Source organism: Homo sapiens, chromosome 19, assembly GCF_000001405.40.
Source record: "Homo sapiens chromosome 19, GRCh38.p14 Primary Assembly".
NCBI classification, from domain to species: domain Eukaryota; kingdom Metazoa; phylum Chordata; class Mammalia; order Primates; family Hominidae; genus Homo; species Homo sapiens.
The window spans coordinates 15,563,525-15,585,542 of NC_000019.10; the positions used below are offsets into that span (position 1 = coordinate 15,563,525).

General features: G+C 48.2%; 1 pseudogene, besides 1 other annotated feature; it reads left to right on the top strand.

Annotated features, from left to right (window-relative positions):
• Positions 446-21,217, top strand: CYP4F23P (cytochrome P450 family 4 subfamily F member 23, pseudogene; annotated as a pseudogene).
• Positions 21,190-21,269: a silencer, noted in NCBI's record as "silent region_10285". NCBI's record gives its function as "represses an Ori minimal core promoter by ATAC-STARR-seq in GM12878 lymphoblastoid cells {active_cell/tissue: GM12878}" and the evidence as "EXISTENCE:reporter gene assay evidence [ECO:0000049][PMID:35858748]".

Below are 22,018 nucleotides of genomic sequence, written 5' to 3' on the forward strand. Positions count from 1 at the left end.
CTATGGCCTACGGGGATTGGCTGCCCCTGACTGCCCAGCCCAGCCCAGCCTTGCCTAGGTGAGGGGCCAGGGACAAAGAAGCCCCAGGAGGAGGGAAGAGGAAGTTGTGTGGGACAAGCTGCTCCTGACAGAAGGTGCCAGGCTGGAACTGTCGGGGCTGGAGGGTCCTGGTCTGGGAGAGGGAGGGGCACTGCCCAAGGCTGGGGTGGCTCCAGGGAGCTGGTCCTGGTGGGGCTGATGGGTTCCTGGTAACTGAAACCAAGCCACTGACAACCTGCAGTGATTCAGGCTGGGCCTTTCAGGACTCTAATCAGCCTTCCTCTCTCTCTTTCTCTCTTCCCTCTCTCTTCTTTACTCTCTTCTCTCTCCGCCTCTTCTCCTGGCTGTACCTGGGTTTCCCTCTCTGCTTTCAGCCCTTGTTTTCTCATCTCTGAGCTCTCCCTGCCTCCAGCACCTCCCATCCCTGCCCCTGTCCAATGTCCCCGAAGCTCCCCGGGCTCTTTTTCTGGGCCTCAGGACCTCACCCTCCATCCCGTGTGCCCTGCAGGATGTCGCTGCTGAGCCTGTCCTGGCTGGGCCTCGGGCCGGTGGCAGCATCCCCATGGCTGCTCCTGCTGCTGGTCGGGGCCTCCTGGCTCCTGGCCCGTGTCCTGGCCTGGACGTACGCCTTCTATGACAACTGCCACCGCCTCCAGTGTTTCCAGCAGCCTCCAAAACGGAACTGCTTTTGAGGTCACCTGAGCCTGGTGAGTATGGCAGCACGACGGGTCTGGGGTCTCAGGGTGGGTGGACTTCTAGAGGGGTGGGAATGGGGCTCAGGGAGCTGGATATTGAGGGTGGGTTGGGGTCTGGGACATCAGAGGAGTGAGGGAGGCCGAGGGGAGCCCCTATTTCCTCACTGCCCCAACCGGATTCATTCCTCCTCTCTGTCCACTCCATGGCCCCAGGCCTTTTTCTTTCTCTCTCTTCCCCACCCTAAGCCTGCTTTGGCTCAAGTTCCTACTTGTCTTCCCCACATTAATGCATCGTTGTATCCTTGTTCTACTGGGGGCTTCTAGGGTGGACTGCACAGAGCAGGTACTCCCTGGCTGCCCATGTTTTTTTTTTTTTTTTGAGACAGGGTCTCGCTCTATCACCCAGGCTGGAGTGCAGTGGTGCAATCATAGCTCACCGCAGCCTTGACCTCCTGGGCTCAACCAATCCTCCCATCTCAGCCTCCCCAGTAGCTGGGACTACAGGCGTGCACCACCAGACCTGCTAGTTTTTTTTTTTGTAGAGACAGGGTCTCACTATGTTGCCCAGAGTGGTCTCAAACTCCTGGCCTCAAGCAATCCTCCCATCTCTGCCTCCCAAAGTGTTGGGATTACAGGCATGAACCACTGCACTTAGCTTAGTCCACAATCCTTATCACTGGACTTGAGGTCTCCTCACGGGGAGAGTCCAGAGTCCACTCTCTGCCTGGCCCATCTCTGTGGGCCTCAGGCTGGTGTCTACTCCTCTCTGGGCTGCTGCCTCCCCATAAGATTTGCTATTTCTCCCTACCGCACCCACAGGGCACAGCTGGGCCAGAGGAAAGATGTGGCTGGTTTCTCCCTCCGTGTCTTTAATCAGGCACCTTTTTTTCTTATATTTCCCTCCACCCCTAAGATATGTCAATGGGCCCCATTGCTCAGTTTGGATAACAGTTGACTACTTTTCCTTTCAGAAGGGATCATTCTGGCCTCTGCCCTAACAGCCAAATTCCCTGGGAGGAGATTCCTCATCTCCCTCATCCTAGCCTCCCCCCTAGAGGACTTTTCTCCATGCTGTGTTGGCCCTCTACTGCCAGAATCATACCTTGGGTTGGTCATTATCTGTAAAGGCGCCACTCCAATGCCATTGATTCAAGTGTTGCCTTCTCTGACCACAATCCCTTCTCTCCTTCTAGCTTTTTCTGTTCACTATCTCTCAACCTTTTTTTTTTTTTTTTTTTTTTTTGAGATGTCGTCTCGTTCTCACTCGTGCACACCAAGGCTGGAGTGCAGTGGCGTGATCTCAGCTCACTGCAATCTCCGCCTCCCAGGTTCACGTGATTCTCTTGCCTCAGCCTCCCAAGTAGCTGGGATTATAGGCGCCCACCATCACGCCTGGCTAATTTTTATATTTTTAGTAGAGATGAGGTTTCATCATGTTGTCCAGGGTGGTCTCAAACTCTTGACCTCAAGTGGTCTGCCCACCTTGACCTCCCAAAGTGCTGGCATGAGCCACTGCACCTGGCCCACTGCTTCTCATCTTACACCCTGTTGGGACTTCCAGTTCTCTCTACACCCCAGTCTAGCAGCTTCTTCCAGTCCTTCCTAGGCATAGTTCCTATTATTTGCTCATGGGCTGGTTTCTGGCCAATGGGACTTTCTTTCCTGGCCATTTGGAAGACCTTTGCCTTAGATGAGCTCAATCGCCCATGTTCTGTCTTTATTTTTCATTTTTTATAGAGACAGGGTCTCACTATGTTGCCCAGGCTGGTCTTGAACTCCTGGGCTCAAGCAATCCACCTGCCTCAGCCTCCTAAAGTGCTGGGATTACAGGCATGAGCCATGGTGTCTGGCCACCCGTGTTCTCTTTATTTCTTCTCTACAACAATATTAGAGAAGGTCACAAAGCAGGTCAGATGGGTGATATGTAAATTCCCTCCCACCCACCTCCTGTGCACCACATTCTGCGCCCAGACCTTCAGCCTGCTTGCTCTGCTGTCCCCTCAAAGACAGAGTTGCCTTCACTCACTCCCTTTGTTTCTCTGATCGCCCCTCACCTGCTCTCCACCCCATCCTGCTGTCTTGAGGTGACCGTGACCCTCAAGCCCCCAAATCCCATGGACACCTCCCAGCCCCAACTCATCTACCTCCCAGCAGCTCTCTGAATTTGTGACTACTCAGTCATTCCCAGTACCTCCTTTTTTCTTGGTTCCAGGACGTTGCCATTCCCTGGTCTCCTCTGACCTTCGTGTGCTCCCGTGTCTCTGCTGTTGGCTCCTCACTATGGGGAGATCCCCCATGGTCCTAGTCATTCCTCCCTCTTGCCTCTCTCCTGAGGTCACCTCCTTACCCAGGGCTCCAGCTTCTAAATTGACCATCGGTTCCCTCTAGAAGTGAGCTCTGAGTTTACATCTCCTGAGCTGGAGGTCATTGCTTCTCTCCTCTCGGGGTGGGGGTGGTCTCAGAAACACTTCCATTCCGATCGGTTTGAATCTGAACTCATGGCCCCCCTCCCTACACTGTCCCCCATTTTGGTCTAGTCCTTCAGTTTCCCAGACCCCACGCTTTGGGGTCTCCTGATGTTCTCTTTCTCTCATCTGCACATCCTGTCCCTCAGCACGTCTGCTGGTGCTGCCTGGCACAGTCTCTCCTCCGTCAATTCCTTCTCTGAGTCCTCCTGCCTCCCCTGGCTCCATCCCTTGCCACCTCTCTCCTGGATGCCTCCCACGGGCGCCTCCCTGGTCTCCCTGTTGCCGTGCCCAATCCTTTCCTCCACTCTCTCCTCAGTCCCGGACAGGCTTTTTCCTTCCTTCCTTCCTTCCTTCCTTCCTTCCTTCCTCTTTCTTTCTTCCTTTCTTTCTTTCCTTTCTTCTTTTCTTTCTTTCTCTTTCTTTCTTTTTCTTTCTTCTTTCTTTTCTTTCTCTCTATCTCTTTCTTTCTCCCTTCCTTCCTTCTTTCTCTTTCTTTCTTTCTTTTTCTGTCTAAAAAAGGAAACCATTTATAAAAATTACAGACAAAAGCACACAAATTACACTACAAATCCATTAGAGATACTATCAATTGGCTAACAGGCAAAAGTTTTGCCTACACAGTTTGAATAAATAGAGACAGAGATTATCGACAAATTTAAGAAAATCGATGCAATCTCATAATCAATAAAGACAATTTCAGATGTGACCTTTTATTTTATTTTTTTATTTTTTTGAGACAGGGTTTCATTGTGCCGTCCAGGCTGGAGTGCAGTGGCATGATCTCGGCTCACTGCAACCTCCATCTCCTGGGTTCAAATGATCCTCCTGCCTCAGCCTCCCTAGTAGCTGGGACTACAGGCATGTACCACCATGCCCGGCTAATTTTTGTATGTATATATATGGTTTTTTTCGGAGACAGAGTCTTGCTCTGTCACCAAGACTGGAGTGCAGTGGCATGATCTCGGCTCACTGCAACCTCTGCCTCCTGGGTTTAAGTGATTCTCCTGCCTCAGCCTCTGGAGTAGCTGGGATTACAGGCGTGCACCACCATACCCAGCTAATTTTTTTTTTTTTTTTTTTTTGTATTTTTAGTAGAGACAGGGTTTCACCATGTTAGCCAGGCTGGTCTCAAACTCCTGACCTCAGGTGATCCGCCTGCCTCAGCCTCCCAAAGTGCTGGGATTAGAGGTGTGAGCCACCACACCCGGCCAAGATGTTACTTCTTGACTATTACATTGATAAAGGCTTTTTAAAAACATATAAGGCCTTCAGTGTGTAATGCTGTCCACCTTCATACGGAGCAGATATGCATGTGGATATTTATAAAATTCTTCTTCAAAGTAATTTTGCAGTATATATCAAAAACTTCAAACTATACCAATGACTTATTTTGAGGACACTATATTCAGTTGATAATCAGGTATATGTAACATAATTACATGAGACTTCCATTGCATTTGTTATGCTAGTAATAAATAGTAAACATGTTTTCAAAACTAGTGAATTAATTATGGTAAAGCCATATGGACCACTGCAAGTTCCCTGAGAGCAAAAGTGACTTCACCTGTCCTATCCCCTGCTCTATCACCTGAATGTAGAATGCACACAGTCTATCTTGAATAACTATTTGTTGAAGGAACTGTATGAAAACATTAATCATTATGCTTGTGAAGACTGATTGAAGAATAATTAAAACATCAAGCTACATGAAAACATGACACAGATCTTATAGAATGAGAGCTCAGGTTTTAAAGTTTGTTATTTGCAATGAAGTAAAGAGATGAGATGGCTGGTGCAGTGGCTCATGCCTGTAATCCCAGCACTTTGGGAGGCCGAGGCAGGTGGATCACCTGAGGTCAGGAGTTCGAAACCAGCCTGACCAACGTGGTGAAACCCCATCTCTACTAAAAATACAAAGATTAGTCGGGTGTGCTGATGGGCGCCTATAATCTCAGCTACTCTGGAGGCTGAGGCAGCAGTATCTCTTGAACCTGGGAGGCAGAAGTTGCAGTGAGCTGAGATCTATCCATTGCACTGTAGCCTGAGTGACAAGAGGAAAACTCTGTCTCAGAAAAAAAAAAAAAAAAAAGATGAGACCTGGACAGACTTTTTTGATAGACTGAGCCACTTATTGGGAGGCGGAGGTTGCAGTGAGCCAAGATGGCCCCATTGCACTCCAGCCTAGGCAACAAGAGTGAAATTCCATCTCAAAAAAAAAAAAAAAGTGGCTGGGTCTCATTTTCCTCTTTATTGGTTTGTGCCACCCAACATCATACGATCTGTCATCAGCACCACAGGTGCTCACTCAGAACACCTGGAAGTGGGTGCTATGGCAGTGTCCAAAGCCTGTGAGCCCCTTCTTGCCCAGCTTATGTGTTGATCCTGTAGGACCCAAGGTCCCCGTGGCTCTGGACGCCCTTGGTCATCTTTTATTTCTTTCATTTATTTGCCAATCTCCATCCTAGGGATCCTTGGAGAGACTCAGTTGAGGTTCTACCTTGGAGGCACCCCCAATCTTGGGGCCACAGAACTAGACTGAGACACTCCACATCCTGTGTGGTCAGGGCTGGCTTGAAGGAGAGATGGACTGTAGGACCCCTGAGGGGAATCAGGGTTTTTGCCAATGGGGCAGGCAGGCAGGCTTCCTGGAGGAGGGGTTTGTGGAAGTGGGTCTGGAATGATGAGTAGGAATTTTTTTAAGCAAAGAAGAGAAAGAGAAAGATAATTTCATGTGGAGGTTGGGCCAACTCGAAGACTTGGAGGTGAGAGCAAGCACCTGGCTTTTGAGCAGCAAGAAAGAGCTTGGTGCCACCAGAACAATTAGGATGAGAGGCAGAAGAAAGAGGGAGGGGAGGAGATTGATTCTGAGGACAATGGGGAGCCCTGGAGGGTGTGTGAACAGGAGAGGGGCAATATCAGCTGACTGGCTCCTTCCGTTGCCCCACCTGGTTTCTCTCCCTTTTTATCAAGCTCCTTTCTATAGCAACCCTTGCAGAAGTATCTGCAATTCAGGTTTTGCTTCTAGAGAGCCCACACTAAGACAGGGCCTTATGATTCTCCAGTCATTCCTCTCCCACTGACCTGCTACCTCTGCTCTTGTTCTCTGACTGGCTTCTACCCATTTTCTTCCACTTCCTTCTGGATCTCTTCTGGGCATCTCCTTCAGTCTTTCCCAGCTGGCTCCAGCCTGGGCACAGTTGTGGGAGTGATGGGAGTATGAGACAGAACATTCTCCCATGAACTCAAATTCAGGGCTATCCTTGGGGTGGGATGTGGAGCCTGGTCTGGGGGTGGTGCAGCCAGGCTTGGGAGAAGGGGCTGTGTCTACATCTTCCCCCTGCTAACTTGCTGCAAAGCTGGGGGTACCTGTCTAGAGCTAGGGGCAGGAGGCTGTGCTGGGACTAGGGGACAGGAGAGAAAGTTCAATGGACTGAGATTCATTATGAATTTGGGATAAACAGCAAGTGGGGTGAATGGTCAAGTGTTGGTGGGGAGAGACAGGGAGAGGGATGGAGAGTTGGACTTGGGAGAGACAGTGATAGGGAAAAAGATGCTCACACAGAGAAAGAGAGAGACAGTGAGAGACAGAGTGAGGGAGAGAGAGGGGAGAGGGAGAGAAAGACACAGAGAAAGTGACACATAAACAGAAAGTAAAAGAAACACATAGACACACATATCTAAATCTGTCATTGATCATATCTGTCATCTATGTAGCCATCACTCATACATCTCTCTCATCTATACCTGTCTCTCTTATCTCTCTATCCATCTATCCTATTTATCATCTATCGATCTGTCACCTACCTTTCTCTTTCTCTCATCTATCTGTCTATCGTATTATCTACCTACCTACCTACCTATCCATCCATCCATCCTGCCTGTGCATCCATTCATCCTTCTATCTATCCTATCTATCTATCTATCTATCTATCTAGCTATCTATCTATCTATCTATCTAATCTATCATCTATCCATCCATCCATCTTATCTGTGCATCCATACATCAATCCATCCATCTATCCTGTTATCTACCTACCTACCTACTTATATACCTACCTCCTACCTACCTACCTACATATCCGTCCATCCCTCCTATCTGTGCATCCATCCATGTATCCTATCTATCTATCTATCTATCTATCTATCTATCTATCTACTTTTTTTTTTTCAAGATGGGGTCTCGCTGTGTCACCCAGGCTGGAGTGCAGTGGCGTGATCTTGGCTCACTGCAACCTCCACGTCCTGAGTTCAAGTGATTCTCCTGCCTCAGCCTCCCGAGAAGCTGGGACTACAGGCATGCGCCACCAGACCCGGCTAATTTTTGTATTTTTAGTAGAGACAGGGGGGTTTCACCATATTGGTCAGGCTGGTCTTGAACTCATGACCTCGTGATCCACCCACCTCAGCCTCCCAAAGTGCTGGGAATACAGGCATGAACCACCGCACCTGGCCTATCTATCTATCTTCTATCTATCTGCTTGTATATCTACCGACTGACCAACCTACCTACCCATTTATCCATCCATCCATCCAGCGATCCATCCATCCATCCTATCTGTGTGTCCATCTGTCCATTTAATCTATCTATCTATCTATCTATCTATCTATCTATCTATCTATCTATCTAATCTATCTATCTATCATCTCCCTCCCTCCCTCCCCACCTACCTACCAATCCATCCATGCATCCACCCATCCTATCTACGGGTCCATCCAACCATCTATCTTATTATCTATCTGTCTGTCTATCTATCTATCTATCTATCTATCTATCCATCCATCCATCCATCATCTACATATCTATCTAGAGAAAGACACAGAGAGAGGAAGAGAGTGAGGGAACAGAGAAGCACATAGACACAGACACAGAAAGAGACAGGCAGAGACCAATATTTCAGGTGAAAGGGCTGAGAAGTTTGGGGGTGTGTGGTGGGTAGGGGGGTGCAATGGGCAGTGGTAGCATCTGAGGCCCCCTGCCAGCCTGGTGTCAGCCTTGTCTATCCCCAGATGCGGGGCAATGAGGAGGACATGAGGCTGATGGAGGATCTGGGCCACTACTTCCGTGATGTCCAACTCTGGTGGCTTGGGTCTTTCTACCCTGTCCTGCATCTCGTCCACCCTACGTTCACTGCCCCTGTGCTCCAGGCTTCAGGTATCTTTCTCAGGAGGCTATGCTGCAGCATCTTCCCTGCCTCTGCTCCCTGCCTTCCCAACCTTTGGACAGGCCATGCTGAGCAGAAAAATGGACATATCCAATAGAGACCATGGCTCTGCCACTAACCTGCTGGGTGACTCTGGGCAGGTCCCTGGTGCTCTCTGGCTCCTGAGGCCTCTTTTAGTTCTGAATGAAGAAAACTCAACCCTGTGTGGTCTAAGCAAAGAAACAGAATGCATTGACTGTAAAGTAAAAGTCAGGAAGTAAAAGTGAAGTCCAGGAAGGGTGGTCTTCAGGCATGGCTGGATCCAGGCCATCATAATGCCAGTCTTCATCTCTTAGCTTTGTATCCCTCTGTGATGGTTTCACTCTCATGCTGCTAAAGATAAATCCCAGAAGCTCAACCCCCATGGAAAATTCCCTGTAGTTCCAGGAAAATTTCCAGGATTCCCCTAAATTTGCCTGGCCTGGGTCACAGGACCAATTTCTTATCCAGTCACTGCAGCTTGATTGCATAGGTTTAAGGTCATATGCTTAGCTCTGGAGCAGGGGATGAGAACCCACTCAACTACTTGGATTGAGAGTGGGGAAGGCATGAGGAGGATGGATGCTGGACGGGCAGATACCACCATTCACCAGACATCCATTCACCAGCATCCCTGTGAGATAGGCATTTCCTGAGTCAGAAAACTGAGGTGCAGAGAGGTGCAATGACTTCTCAAGGTCACACAGCATATCGAGGCCTCCCTCTTAGTTCTTTTTGTAATTTTTTTGAGACAGGGTCTCACTCATTAATGCTTATTGTGGAGTGTGGCAGGATACTGAGGAAGCCTAAATCAAGCCTAGGTTACATGTGGGATGCTAATAGGACCAGATTTAAATCCTATCTGGGGCCCATCTATAGGGCATGTGGAAGTCATTTTAGACTCTCTCAGGTCCATGTCTGAGCATGCCACATCAGGACAGGTCATGTATATTGTGTCAATGTCAGAACATGTTAACGCATCTCAGGCTATGCCACATATCTCAGGTCCATGTCAGAAGATGTCAGAGAGTACTGGGCAGACAGGGTGTCCTAGGTCCTTTTTTTTTTTTTTTTTTGGAGACAGCGTCTCACTCTGTCATCCTGGCTGGGGTGCAGTAGAACGATCTTGGCTCACTGCAACCTCCGCCTCCCTGGTTCAAGCAATTCGCCTCCCGAGTAGTTGGGACTACAGGCGCCCGCCGCCACACCCAGCTAATGTTTTTGTATTTTTTAGTAGAGACGGGGTTTCACCATGTTGCCCAGGCTGGTTTTGAACTGCTGAGCTCAGGCAATCCGCCCACCTCAGCCTCCCAAAGTGCTAGAATTACAGGCGTGATCCACCGTGCCCGGCTAGGGTGTCCTAGGTCCTTGTAAAGGCATTTTGTAGAGCGTTGAGCTATGCTCAGGTGTTGCAGAACATGTTGGACCATGTAGGAGCCATGTCAAGGCGTACTGGGGTGTGCTGTGCCATGTTGGGCTGTGTCATTGTTCTACTGCACCGCTGCAGCCTGGTCTGGTCCCCAGTCTCCTCCCCTGTCCTCCCTCCTTCCTTTGCCCTTGACCCTCTTCCTGCTATGCTGGGCCTGGAGGGTGGAAGTGCAAATCCCTGGCTGGGAGCCTCCCCCTACACTCAAAGTCCCTCCCCTGCCCCTCTCCATAACCCCTGATGGTCCTTATTCATGTCAGCTGCTGTTGCACTCAAGGATATGAGTTTCTATGGCTTCCTGAAGCCCTGGCTGGGTGAGTAACTAGATGAATGGGGATGGGGACAACCTTCTGGGGCCAGGGGAAGGTGCTGTCCTTGCCCATGGCCCTTGGCTGCCTCTACTAGGGGATGGGCTCCTGATTAGTGCCGGTGACAAGTGGAGATGGCACCGCCACCTGCTCACACCTGCCTTCCACTTCAAAATCCTGAAGCCCTATGTGAAGATTTTCAATGAGAGCACGAACATCATGCACGTGAGTGCCACAAACTCGGATCCCAGCTGGGCCCTTGGAAAAGGAGAAGTGACCTCAGACAGATCTGGTCTGAAATGCTGGCTCTGCTGGGTGGCTTTGGTGCCATAGCTCTTCCTCCCTAGGCCTTGGTTTCTTCATCTGTAAAATGTGGATAATAATTTCTACTTAAAGGGTGGTCAAGATCTTGTACCGAAGTCATGTTCTTGGCACATAGTAGGTGTTCAGAAGGCATTAATTACTAGTCTCCCTCACAGAAACCTTGCAAACTAATAAAGACAGTTATGATGAAATTTGGATAATGGCAGGGCGCAGTGGCTCACTCCTGTAATCCCAGCACTTTTGAGGCCGAGGTGGATCACTTGAGGCCAGGAGATTGAGGCCAGCCTGGCCAACGTGGTGAAACCCCATCTCTACTAACAATACAAAAAAATAATTAGCTGGTATGGTGGCGCATGCCTGTAATCCCAGCTACTTGGGAGGCTGAGGCAGGAGAATTGCTTGAATCCAGGAGGCAAAGGTTGCAGTGAACTGAGATTGTGCCACTGCACTCCTGCCTGGGCGACAGTGAGACTACAAGTCCAAAAAAAAAAAAAAATTGCATATAGCTTTTTCTGCATAGCAAACCACTTTAAAACTCACTGGCCCTGGTGGGCCAACCAGACACTTCCATTTGTCCCTTATTTTCCAGGAGGCTAGCCTGGGTTCACTACCACCATGGAGCCTGAGTTTCAAGAGAGTGAGCAGAAACATTTTAGTACCTCCTGATGCTTAGTTCAGAACTAGCACACTAGCATTTTTACCACATTCTCCTGGTGAAAGCCAGTTTCAAGACCAGCTCAAATCCAGGAGATGGAGACTCAGGCTCTGCCTGCAAATGGAAGGAGGTGCCAAGTCTCATCGCCAAGGGTGAGGGGCAAAAAGTTGGGGACATTTCTGCAATCACTTGCCTCTGTGCTAATGATGAGGATGATAATGATAGCTAACATTTATTGAGCACTTAGTGTATACCAGAAACTATATGCCAATTCCATGATCTATGTTGTCTAATTTAATATTCACAATCCTTTGAGGTAGAGATGATCATAATTGCCACATTATGGATGAAGAAATTGTGGGTCAGAGAGATTAGGGAGCTTGCCTAAGTTTACACAGTTAGAAAGTGAGCTAAAAGTGGTGGAGAAGGGGTTCTAACCTGGTTATCTGGCACCAAAGCAGATCATCTTGTTTTGCTTTTTTTTTTGTTTTTTTTTTTTTTGAGATGGAGTCTCACTCTGTCACCAGGCTGGAGTGCAGTGGCATGATCTCAGCTCACTGCAACCTCCGCTTCCTGGGTTCAAGCGATTCTCCTGCCTCAGCCTCCTGAGTAGCTGGAATTACAGGCACCTGCCATCACATCCAGCCATTTTTTGTATTTTTTGGTAGAGACGGATTTCACCATGTTGGCCCAGATGGTCTCAATCTCCTGAACTCATGATCTGCCCATCTCACCTTCCAAAGTGTTGGGATTACACGTGTGAGCCACTGTGCCTGACCCAAAGCAGATCATCTTAACTATTACTGAAGATTTGACAGGGGGGACCTAAAGAGGGCAGTGGGCTGACCAAGGGTACATAGGGCACAGAAGCAGAGCTGGAACTTGAACCCAGGTCACCCGAACCCCAGCCTTGGGCCTTCATGTCCTAATAGTAACAGCTTCTGTCCCTCACAAGCTTGGTCCTCCTTGGGGATGGGTACCCGGGAAAGACGACTAGGAGTTGGTTCTGGGGGAGTCCATCCTGGAGGTTGGGGACGGGAAGGGACTCAGGGGAGCCAGGGCTCAGTTCCTGCTCTGTCCCCTTCTCTGGCCAGGCCAAATGGCAACGCCTGGCCTTGGAGGGCAGTGTCCGTCTGGAAATGTTTGAGCACATCAGCCTCATGACCTTGGACAGTCTGCAGAAATGCATCTTCAGCTTTGACAGCAATTGTCAGGAGTGAGTTCTTCCCCAGGACCTGGGATCTTGGCCATGGACCCACAGGAGTAGGTTATGGAGAGAGGACTGATCAGGGCATCTGAAGTGTCTTCTTGGAGAAAATGAGTCAGAATTGAGCATGGAAGTACAGGGAAGGGGAGAGAGAAAGATCAGTTCTCCAGGTAGGTAGAAGTGTTTGGGTAATGGCAAGGAGGCTAGGATGAGCAGAGCACGTGCAATGGCCATCAAGGGGACACCTTGGAAATGAGATTGGAGGGGTCAGCAGTAGCTACAACTTAATGACATTGAAAAGCCATGCAAAGGGGTATGAACTTCATCCAAGGCTCCCAGGGAATCATGGGAGGTATTTGAGAAGATGAGGGTCATGGTCAGTGCTGAGCTTGGACGTTTGACTCTGTGGAAGATTGACTGTTATGTAGACAGAGGAAGCAAGGAGACCATGGAGAGGAAGAGGCCTGAGCTTGGTGGAGAAAAAGGGGCAGATTTGAGAGAAACCAAGGAGAAATAGGCAGGAGCAGATGTTGTGTAAGATGCCCATGATGGCCAAGCTGTGCCCTGGGGCATCTGGGGCAGGAGGCAGCTCACAGAGAGTGGGAGGCAGAGAGTGAAGTGTGCTTGCAGGGCACCCTTTTCTGCACCGAACGTGGTCCTGGGATTCTGGCTAGAAGGTGCTCCCAGGCTTTCATGTGTGTTTAGAAGCTGCTTCCTCTTCCTGGCCTGACCCTGCGGGAAGCCCAGCGAATATATTGATGCCATCTTGGAGCTCAGTGCCCTCAGTCTGAAACGGCACCAGCACATCTTCCTGCTCACGGACTTCTTGTACTTCCTCACTCCCAATGGGCGACGCTTCTGCAGGGCCTGTGACATAGTGCACAACTTCACAGATGCTGTCATCCAGGAGCGGCGTCGCACCCTCACTAGCCAGGGTGTCGATGACTTCCTGCAGGCCAAGGCCAAGTCCAAGACTTTGGACTTCATTGACGTGCTCTTGCTGGCCAAGGTGGGCTACTCTGGGATCTGAATTTCAGAAGTAGAATGGACTTTGACGTGAAATGTCAGATCCATGAACTTGGACTTGATCCAGAGGGCACTGGGGAGCCATGGAAGGTGCTTGAGGAAAGGAGGGACAAGTAAGATATATTTTAGAGGTGACTCTGTAGAAGAGTTCCTAGAAGGAGCAAACAGGAGGCAAGAGACTGGGAAAGAGTCCTGCTAGGCAGGTCTAATGATGATAAGGGAGGAATCTTGCCTGGAATATGGATCTTCATGAACTGTTTTAGGTTAGACTCAGGTGCCTTCATGGCTGGTGTAATTTAGAGGTCTTGTCTTGTCTCCAGGATGAAAATGGAAAGAAGTTGTCAGATGAGAACATAAGAGCGGAGGCTGACACCTTCATGTCTGGGGGTGAGGGTCCCAGGGTGTGATGTCACTAGGGGTAGGAGTGTCTCCATTCCAGGGATGTGGTGAGTGGACCCTGGATCACCCCATCCCATCTTCCTTCCCCACTTCCTTCTGAGGGCCTCAATACATGGGTGCTGTCCACCCTTGGGTGCTGAAGCAGCCCAGAGACCCAAGCTTACCTGGCTGCCCCTCAGGCCATGACACCTCGGCCAGTGGTCTCTCCTGGGTCCTGTACAACCTCGCGAGGTACCCAGAATACCAGGAGCACTGCCGACAGGAGGTGCAAGAGCTCCTGAAGAACGGTGATCCTAAAGAGATTGAATGGTGAGTGTGCAGGTCCTCATGACCTGTTCCTGAGTCCCTCTCATTGGTTTAGCTCTTCAGGTGGGAAAGGGAGAAGGTCTTATTGGTGATTGTGCTATTACTGCCTAGTGGGAATTGGTGCAGAGCTCAGAAACAGGGCCTGGTACTCAGCCTGGAGCAAAGGAAATGTTGCAGGATTTTTGCCTTTACTATCTATTGCAATTAAACTCATTCAATTATTTTTTCTTTTTTGTTACTTCTTTCTTTTTTCTTTTCTTTTTTTTTTTTTTTGAGACAGTCTCACTGTGTCATCCAGGCTGGAGTGCAGTGGCATAATCTCTGCTCACTGCAACCTCTGCCTCCTGAGTTCAGGTGATTCTCCTGCCTCAGCTTCCTGAGGACCTGTGATTGCAGGCATCCGCCACTATGCCCAGCTAATTTTTGTATTTTTAATAGAGACGGGGTTTCACCATGTTGGCCAGGCTGGTCTCGAACTCCAGACCTCAGGGGATTCGCCTACCTCAGCCTACCAAAGTGCTGGGATTACAGGTGTGAGCCACAGCGCCTGGCCAAACCTATTCAGTTCTAATAGATATTGCCGAATTGCCTTTTAGAGTCTCTGCACTGATTAACTCTCCAGTGTGTTGTAGAACTAGTTCTCTTTGTTTCCTCCTTTTTGATAGCTGCATAGTGTTCTCTCATAAGGATGTACTGTAATTCATCAAAACATTTCTCCATTGATGGATATTTGTGTGCTTTCCAGGCTTTTGCTATAACTAACATGATGTAGTGGGCACCCATGTACACTGACCATTGCTTACATCTGTGAGCAGCTTTGCAGTACCAATTCTGAGAAGTGCAGTTGGTGAACTGAAGACCATTTGAGATTGACAATTCAATAGCTCCTACACACACATTTTGAGAATGCCTTCCTCACATTCTCCCCTAAAGTGTCTATTATGAAACTTTAAAACATTTGCCAATCTGATAGATGCAACATAATACTTCAATGAACATCACTTTAAGCCTGGGTAAAGTTGAGCATTGTTTTCACTTACTGACCATGGGTATTTCTTATTCTGTGAAGTGTTTGCACAATTTGTTCCTTCTAGTTTGGGTTTTGTAGTTTTTTTCTTATTGATTTATAAGCACTGCTCACAGATTAAGAAAACTAGTTCTTTTTTTCTGTTTTGCAAAGTTCTTTTTCAGATTGTCTTTGAATTAATTGTTGGTTTTCATTCATTTATTTTGGCTTGATTAATTTATTTGCAGTCAAATTCTTTCCTTTATACGTGCCGTTTTTTGTTTTTTTTATTATTTTTATTATTTTTTTTTTGAGACAGAGTCTTGCTCTGTCACCCAGGCTGGACAGCAGTGGCACCATCTCAGCTCACTGCAACCTCCGCCTCCCGAGTTCAAGTGATTCTCCTCCTCAGCCTCTCAAGTAGCTGGGATTACAAGTGTCCACCACTATGCCCAGCTAATTTTTGTATTTTTAGTAGAGATGGGGTTTCACCATGTTGGCCAGGCCTCAGGTGATCCACCTACCTTGGCCTCCCAGAGTGCTGGGATTACAGGCGTGAGCCACTGCGCCTGGCCATGTTTTTGTTTTTTTAAATCATGCATGGGACATTCTTTCATGCTCTAAAATTAAAATGTAAAACTCATGTTTGTTTTCCTCTGATGGGTTTATTTGTTTTTAAAATATTTTATTTATTATTTTAGTTTAAAAATATTTATTACTTTTTTCTCTATGAAGTCTATGATAGTATAAGAATTGTTGTAGGAATGTATTCATTTTCCTCCAAATGGCTAGTTGCCCCAACAGAATTTAATGAATATTTTGTATTTGTCTTACGATTTTAAATAACAGCAGATTCACAATAAGTGAAATTTATTTATATATTTGGGTCTGTTTCTTGGGCTTTATTCTGTTCCACTTAATTTTATTTATTTATTTATTTATTTATTTATTTTATTTTTTTTTTTTGAGACAGAATCTTGCTCTGTCGCCCAGGCTGGAGTGCAGTGGTGTGATCTTAGCTCATTGTAACTTCCATCTCCTGGGTTCAAGCGATTCTCCTGCCTCAGCCTCCCGACTAACTGGGACTAGAGGTGCACATCACCACACCCGGCTAATTTTTGTATTTTTAGTAGAGACAGGGTTTCACCATGTTGGCCAGGCTGGTCTCAAATTTCTGATCTCAAGTGATCCGCCCAACTCGGCTTCCCAAAATGCTGGGGTTCCAGGCGTGAGCCACCACGCCTGGCCCAGTTAATTATATAGTCATACATAAGCATCAAGATGTCTTCATCATTATACTTTAAATAACACTTTCATATTTGATAAAGGTGATCCTATTTTATTACTTTGCTTTTACAAGTTTTTCTTTTTTTCTTTTCTTTTCTTTTTTTTTTTTTTTTGAGATGGAACCTCGCTCTGTCACCCAGGCTGAAGTGCAGTGGTGCAATCTCTGCCTCCTGAGTTCGGCTCACTGCAACCTCTGCCTCCTGAGTTCAAACTATTCTCCTGCCTCAGCCTCCTGAGTAGTTGGGATTACAGGTGCCCACCACCACGCCCGGCTAATTTTTTTGTATTTTTAGTAGAGACAGGGTTTCACCATGTTGGCCAGGCTGGTCTCGATCTCCTGATCTCAGGTGATCTGCCTGCCTCGGCCTCCCAAAGTGCTGGAATTACAGGTGTGAGCCACTGCACCTGACCTGAGCACCTCTTCTTATTGTCCCACTTATGCCTAGTGTTCCATTATTGGAATGCTAAGCATGTGGGAGTTATTCATATTCTACTGCTCCAGGTCATTGCCAAGGTCTGATTTTCAAAATTCAAAAAATTGAAACCTCAGGCATAAATGGGTTAAATCTCTTATAGACCTCAGGGCATCCATGATTTCTTAGATCATATTCTTTTCTACTTTTCTCTTGGGTCACCTGTTCTTTCTCTTGTTATTTTGCAGGAATTCCTTGTATTCTAGATATTGTAGAAACCTTTGAATCTCTCATCTGAATGTTCATTTGGTCCATGGTATCCTGTGTTACACATAATTCCTTAATTTTCATGCATATTTATCCTTTTTCTTTTTGATCTTCTACTTTGTCCTTTCGAGGTTTTAAGAATTCCCACCCTTAAGTCACAAAAGTGTTTCTTCTGTTATCTTCTCTTAACTTTATAGCTTTATTCATCTCATATAGGAAGAGATTCCATCCTGTATATGAAGTAGACAAGGATCTGGTTTTTTTGTTCCCAAATTTCCAATTGTTTGAACATCTTCCTCCAAATCATCTATCAATTGCCCAGGGGTGTGTGGGCCCCTCTTTACCAGAAGTTGTTAAATTTTCACCTATTCCTGTGCCTGACTGCAAGCTCTCTTCTCTCTTCCTCTGGTCCGTTTTCCTGTTCTTGTAGCAGTACCAGTCTTTTCTTTTCGTTTCTTTTCTTTTCCTTTCTTTCCTTTTCCCTCCTTCCCTCCATCTTTCTTTCTTTCCTTCCTTCTTTCTTTCTTTCCTTCTTTCTTTCTTTCTTCCCTCCCTCCTTCTCTCTTTCTTCCCTCCCTCCTTCTCTCTTTCTTCCCTCCCTCCTTCTCTCTTTCTTCCCTCCCTCCTTCTCTCTTTCTTCCCTCCCTCCTTCTCTCTTTCTTCCCTCCCTCCTTCTCTCTTTCTTCCCTCCCTCCTTCTCTCTTTCTTCCCTCCCTCCTTCTCTCTTTCTTCCCTCCCTCCTTCTCTCTTTCTTCCCTCCCTCCTTCTCTCTTTCTTCCCTCCCTCCTTCTCTCTTTCTTCCCTCCCTCCTTCTCTCTTTCTCCTTCCTTCCTTCCTTCCTTCCTTCCTCTCTCTCTCTCTCTCTTGCTTTCTTGCTTTCTTTCTTGGTTTTGCTGTGTTCCCAAGCTGGAGTGCAGTGGTGTGATCATGGCTCACTGCAACCTCCACCTCCCAAGATCAAGGGGTCCTCCCACCTCAGCCTCCCGAGTAGCCAGGAGTAAAGGCACATGCCACCACACCCGGCTAATTTTTTGTATTTTTAGTAGAGACAAGGTCTCACTATGTTGCCCAGGCTCGTTGTGAACTCCTGGGCTCAAGCAGTCTGCCTGCTTTGGCCTTCCACTGTGTTCGGATTACAGATGTGAGCCACCTTGCCCAGCGCATTTATCACCTTTTTTTTTTTTTTTTTGACGGAGTCTCAGCTGGGCTGGTGAGCAGTGGCGTGATCTCGGCTCTCTGCAACCTCTGCCTTCCGGATTCAAGTGATTCTCCTGCCTCAGCCTCCGGAGTAGCTAGGATTACAGGCGCCTGCCACCACACCCAGCTATGTTTTTGTATTTTTAGTAGGGACGGGGTTTCACTATGTTGGCCAGGCTGATCTTAACTCCTGACCTCATGGCTCTCCCGTGGCGGCCTCCCAAAGTGCTGGGATTACAAGCTTGAGCCACCACCCCTGGCCACTTTATCTTTTAGAAAATATTTTATTTCATTTTTATGCTATACCTTTGTAATAGATCATAATATCTGGTAAATTGGATTTATCTTCTTCAATCTTTTATTTTAATTTTATCTTAACTTTTTTTTTAAGAGATGGGATCTCACTTTATAGCCCAGGCTGGAGTGCATTGGCATGATCATAGCTCACTGCAGCCTTGAACTCCTGGGCGCAAGGGATCCTCACACCTCAGCCTCCTGAGTAGCTGGGACCACAGACATGCACCACCAGGCCTGGTGGATCTTTTATTCTTAAATTGACCTAGCTTTTGATGAACTTTAATTCTTCCAATTAGAATAAGATGGTTAAGTTCCTACAAAATAAAATGCTAGATTTTTTATTGAATTGCTTTGAATATGTTGATTAATTTAGAAAGAAATGAGACCTTTATAATATTAAGTCATCTCATTCTAGAGTGTTGAGGGGATTTTATTGAAACAATTTTGTAATCTTTATAGAGATTTTCCCCTCGTCTTTGTTAGTATATTCTATTATTAATTTGAGACAGGGTCTTGCTCTGTCACCCAGGCTGGAGTGCAGTGGCATGATCTCCGCTCACTGCAAACTCCACCTCCCAGATTCAAGTGATTCTTGTGCCTCAGCCTCTTGAGTAGCTGGGATTACAGGTGCATGCCACCATACCCGGTTAATTTTTGTATTGTTAATAGAGACGGAGTTTTGCTATGTTGGCCAGGGTGGTCTTGAACTCTTGACCTCAAGTAATCAACCCGCCTCAGCTTTCCAAAGTGCTAGAATTACAGGCATAAGCCACAGCACCTGGCCTCATTATATATTTTAAAACATTTTTTAATGCAAATAGGTTAACACTTTTAAGGAGACCCTCTATATGTTGTGTTTTGCTTAGAAATGCTTCTAAAAATACCATATCAAGTTTTCTAATACTTTTGCGACTTTGGTTTTCTCATGCTTAAATCCTTGATTCTTCTGGAATTCATTTTGTTATTGGATTTAGGGTCAGAGGGAGGTTGGAATTGCCTTTGCAAAAATTATAACTGAGGACATCATGACAGTGAAAGAGAACAGACCTAATCGACTCCATCTTGCTTGTAACCTTCAAGCTGTCTTTGTTCATTCCTGGGCATAGGCTGAACTAACTTTGGGAAGGAATTCAGTTCTTGGTTTGAGTCTGAAACCAAATTGATAATAGCCCTTTCCTGAAAACACCCCCTGTCTTGATAAATCGGCTCTTTCTAGGCAGCAGGCAAGGTGAATTCACTGGGCGGTTACAAGTTGGTGCGAGGGTCTCTCTGGACTGCAGGAGGGCTGTGTTTGCCCCCTGGATAATTGTTGGGTGTTACCTTAGGGATGACCTGGCCCAGTTGCCCTTCCTGACCATGTGCCTGAAGGAGAGCCTGCGGCTGCATTCCCCAGTCTCCAGGATCCACCGCTGCTGCCCCCAGGACGGGGTGCTCCCGGATGGCCGGGTCATCCCCAAAGGTGCCCACAGTTGGGCAGGCGGGGAGGGCTTTGGGCAGGGTGGAGGTCCCATCGTGTAGTGGAGTCCTTGTCCTGACTGCACCTCCTCCCCGACAGGGAACACTTGCACCATCAGCATCTTTGGGATCCATCACAACCCTTCAGTCTGGCCGGACCCGGAGGTGCTACCCCTTCCGCCTTCTCCATCCCGGGGCCTGGTCAGGGGAGGGGTCTTTTCCCAGGGAAGCAGATACTCCCTCTCTACTCCACCCACATGTGTACTTTTTTTTTGTTTTGTTTTTTGAGACGAAGTTTTGCTCTTGTTGCCCAGGCTGGAGTGCAATGGAGCGATCTCGGCTCACTGCAACCTCTGCCTCCCGGGTTCAAGTGATTCTCCTGCCTCAGCCTCCCTAGTAGCTGGGATTACAGGCATGTGCCACCACGCCCGGCTAATTTTGTATTTTTAGCAGAGACGGGGTTTCTCCATGTTGGTCAGGTTGATCTCGAACTCCCAACCTCAGGAGTTTCGCCCCTCAGCCTCCCAAAGTGCTGGGATTACAGGCATGAGTCACCGTGCCCGGCTTCACATCTGTCTTATATGCGGGTGGCTGGGTGTCCTGAGAGACCCCCACCCAACAGCCCTAACTTGCCCACCCACCAGGTCTATGACCCCTTTCGCTTCGACCCAGAAAATCTCCAGAAGACATCACCTCTGGCTTTTATTCCCTTCTCAGCAGTGCCCAGGTGAGGCTAAGGGGCTTCTGAGGCGGGCATCGGGTGAGGGTGCCACAGGTGGAGGCAAGGTCTGACTTGTGGGGCCACGTGTTTCAGGGAGTCGAGGGTTTTAATAAGATCCCAGGAAAAGGGGGTGTGTGTTCTCAGACTTCCCCACTCCTACGTCTGCTGGTCTGGGGGCTGGAGTCTAAGCCAGGCTCGGAGGATATGCAAGCCCACATGGGGGTCCCAGGCACAGAGTCCCTCTCTCTGCCCCTCAATCGGATCTGGGTGGGGTTGGGAGTCCCAGACGAGGTTCCCGGCGCGATGGGGCCGGGATGGGGGTCCTGGGCACAGTCAGAGTCCCCACCCCCTCCCCCGGGAACTGCATCGGCCAGACGTTCGCCATGGCTGAGATGAAGGTGGTCCTGGCGCTCACGCTGCTGCGCTTCCGCGTCCTGCCGGACCACGCGGAGCCCCGCAGGAAGCTGGAGCTGATCGTGCGCGCGGAGGATGGACTTTGGCTACGGGTGGAGCCCCTGAGCGCGGATCTGCAGTGACCCACCACTGTCAGGTCTCAGAGCCACCCGCGCCCTCCTCAGGCACCTTTGCAGATTCCGGGGAATCAATCTGTGCCTGAGTCCCACAGACAGCCAGCAGGGGGCGTCGGAGAACTGCAGGGATCCAGGGCCTGGCGAGGGGAAGGCGGAGTATTTCTGAGCCAAGACCCTGACAGCCTCTCTGGTTGAGCACAGTGGCCCCGTGCTGAGGGCGGGTTGTCCCAGAGCGCAGGTGGGGACAGTATCCTGTGGGCGATAGGGAGCCATGGCGGGTGTTTGAGCAGGAGAGGGACCAGGGTTGAGGAGGCACCTATGGGGCAGGTTTGAGGCTCTGAGTCACTGAGGAAAACCAGAGCGGCACTACATCCCCGCCCCTCGATCTCAATTCTCATCTCCTAATACATCCAGTTGTTTTTTTTCCTCTCACCTCAGGGTTCTTCACCGTTTTCATTGTTCTTAAACGACTGCACTTATTAAACAATAATAAGCCTGGTTGTTTTACAGTGTGTCTGATCATTGAAAGTACCTGTATCTATTACAATGACTGTCATTTTTGTCATGGGGTCAGTGTTTCGGTTATCTTTGCCTGGTATTGGCTGCCATATTTGCATATTAGAAATAATATTCGTAGGATTTAAAGAAGGCAGAGTTCTCTCTCTCTTTTTTTTTTTTCTGAAACAGAGTCTTGCTCTGTCACCCAGGCTGGAGTGCAGTGGCAAGATCTCGGTTCACTGCAACCTCTGCTCCTGGGTTCAAGCGATTCTCCTGCCTCAGCCTCCCAAGTAGCTGGGACTACAGGTGACTGC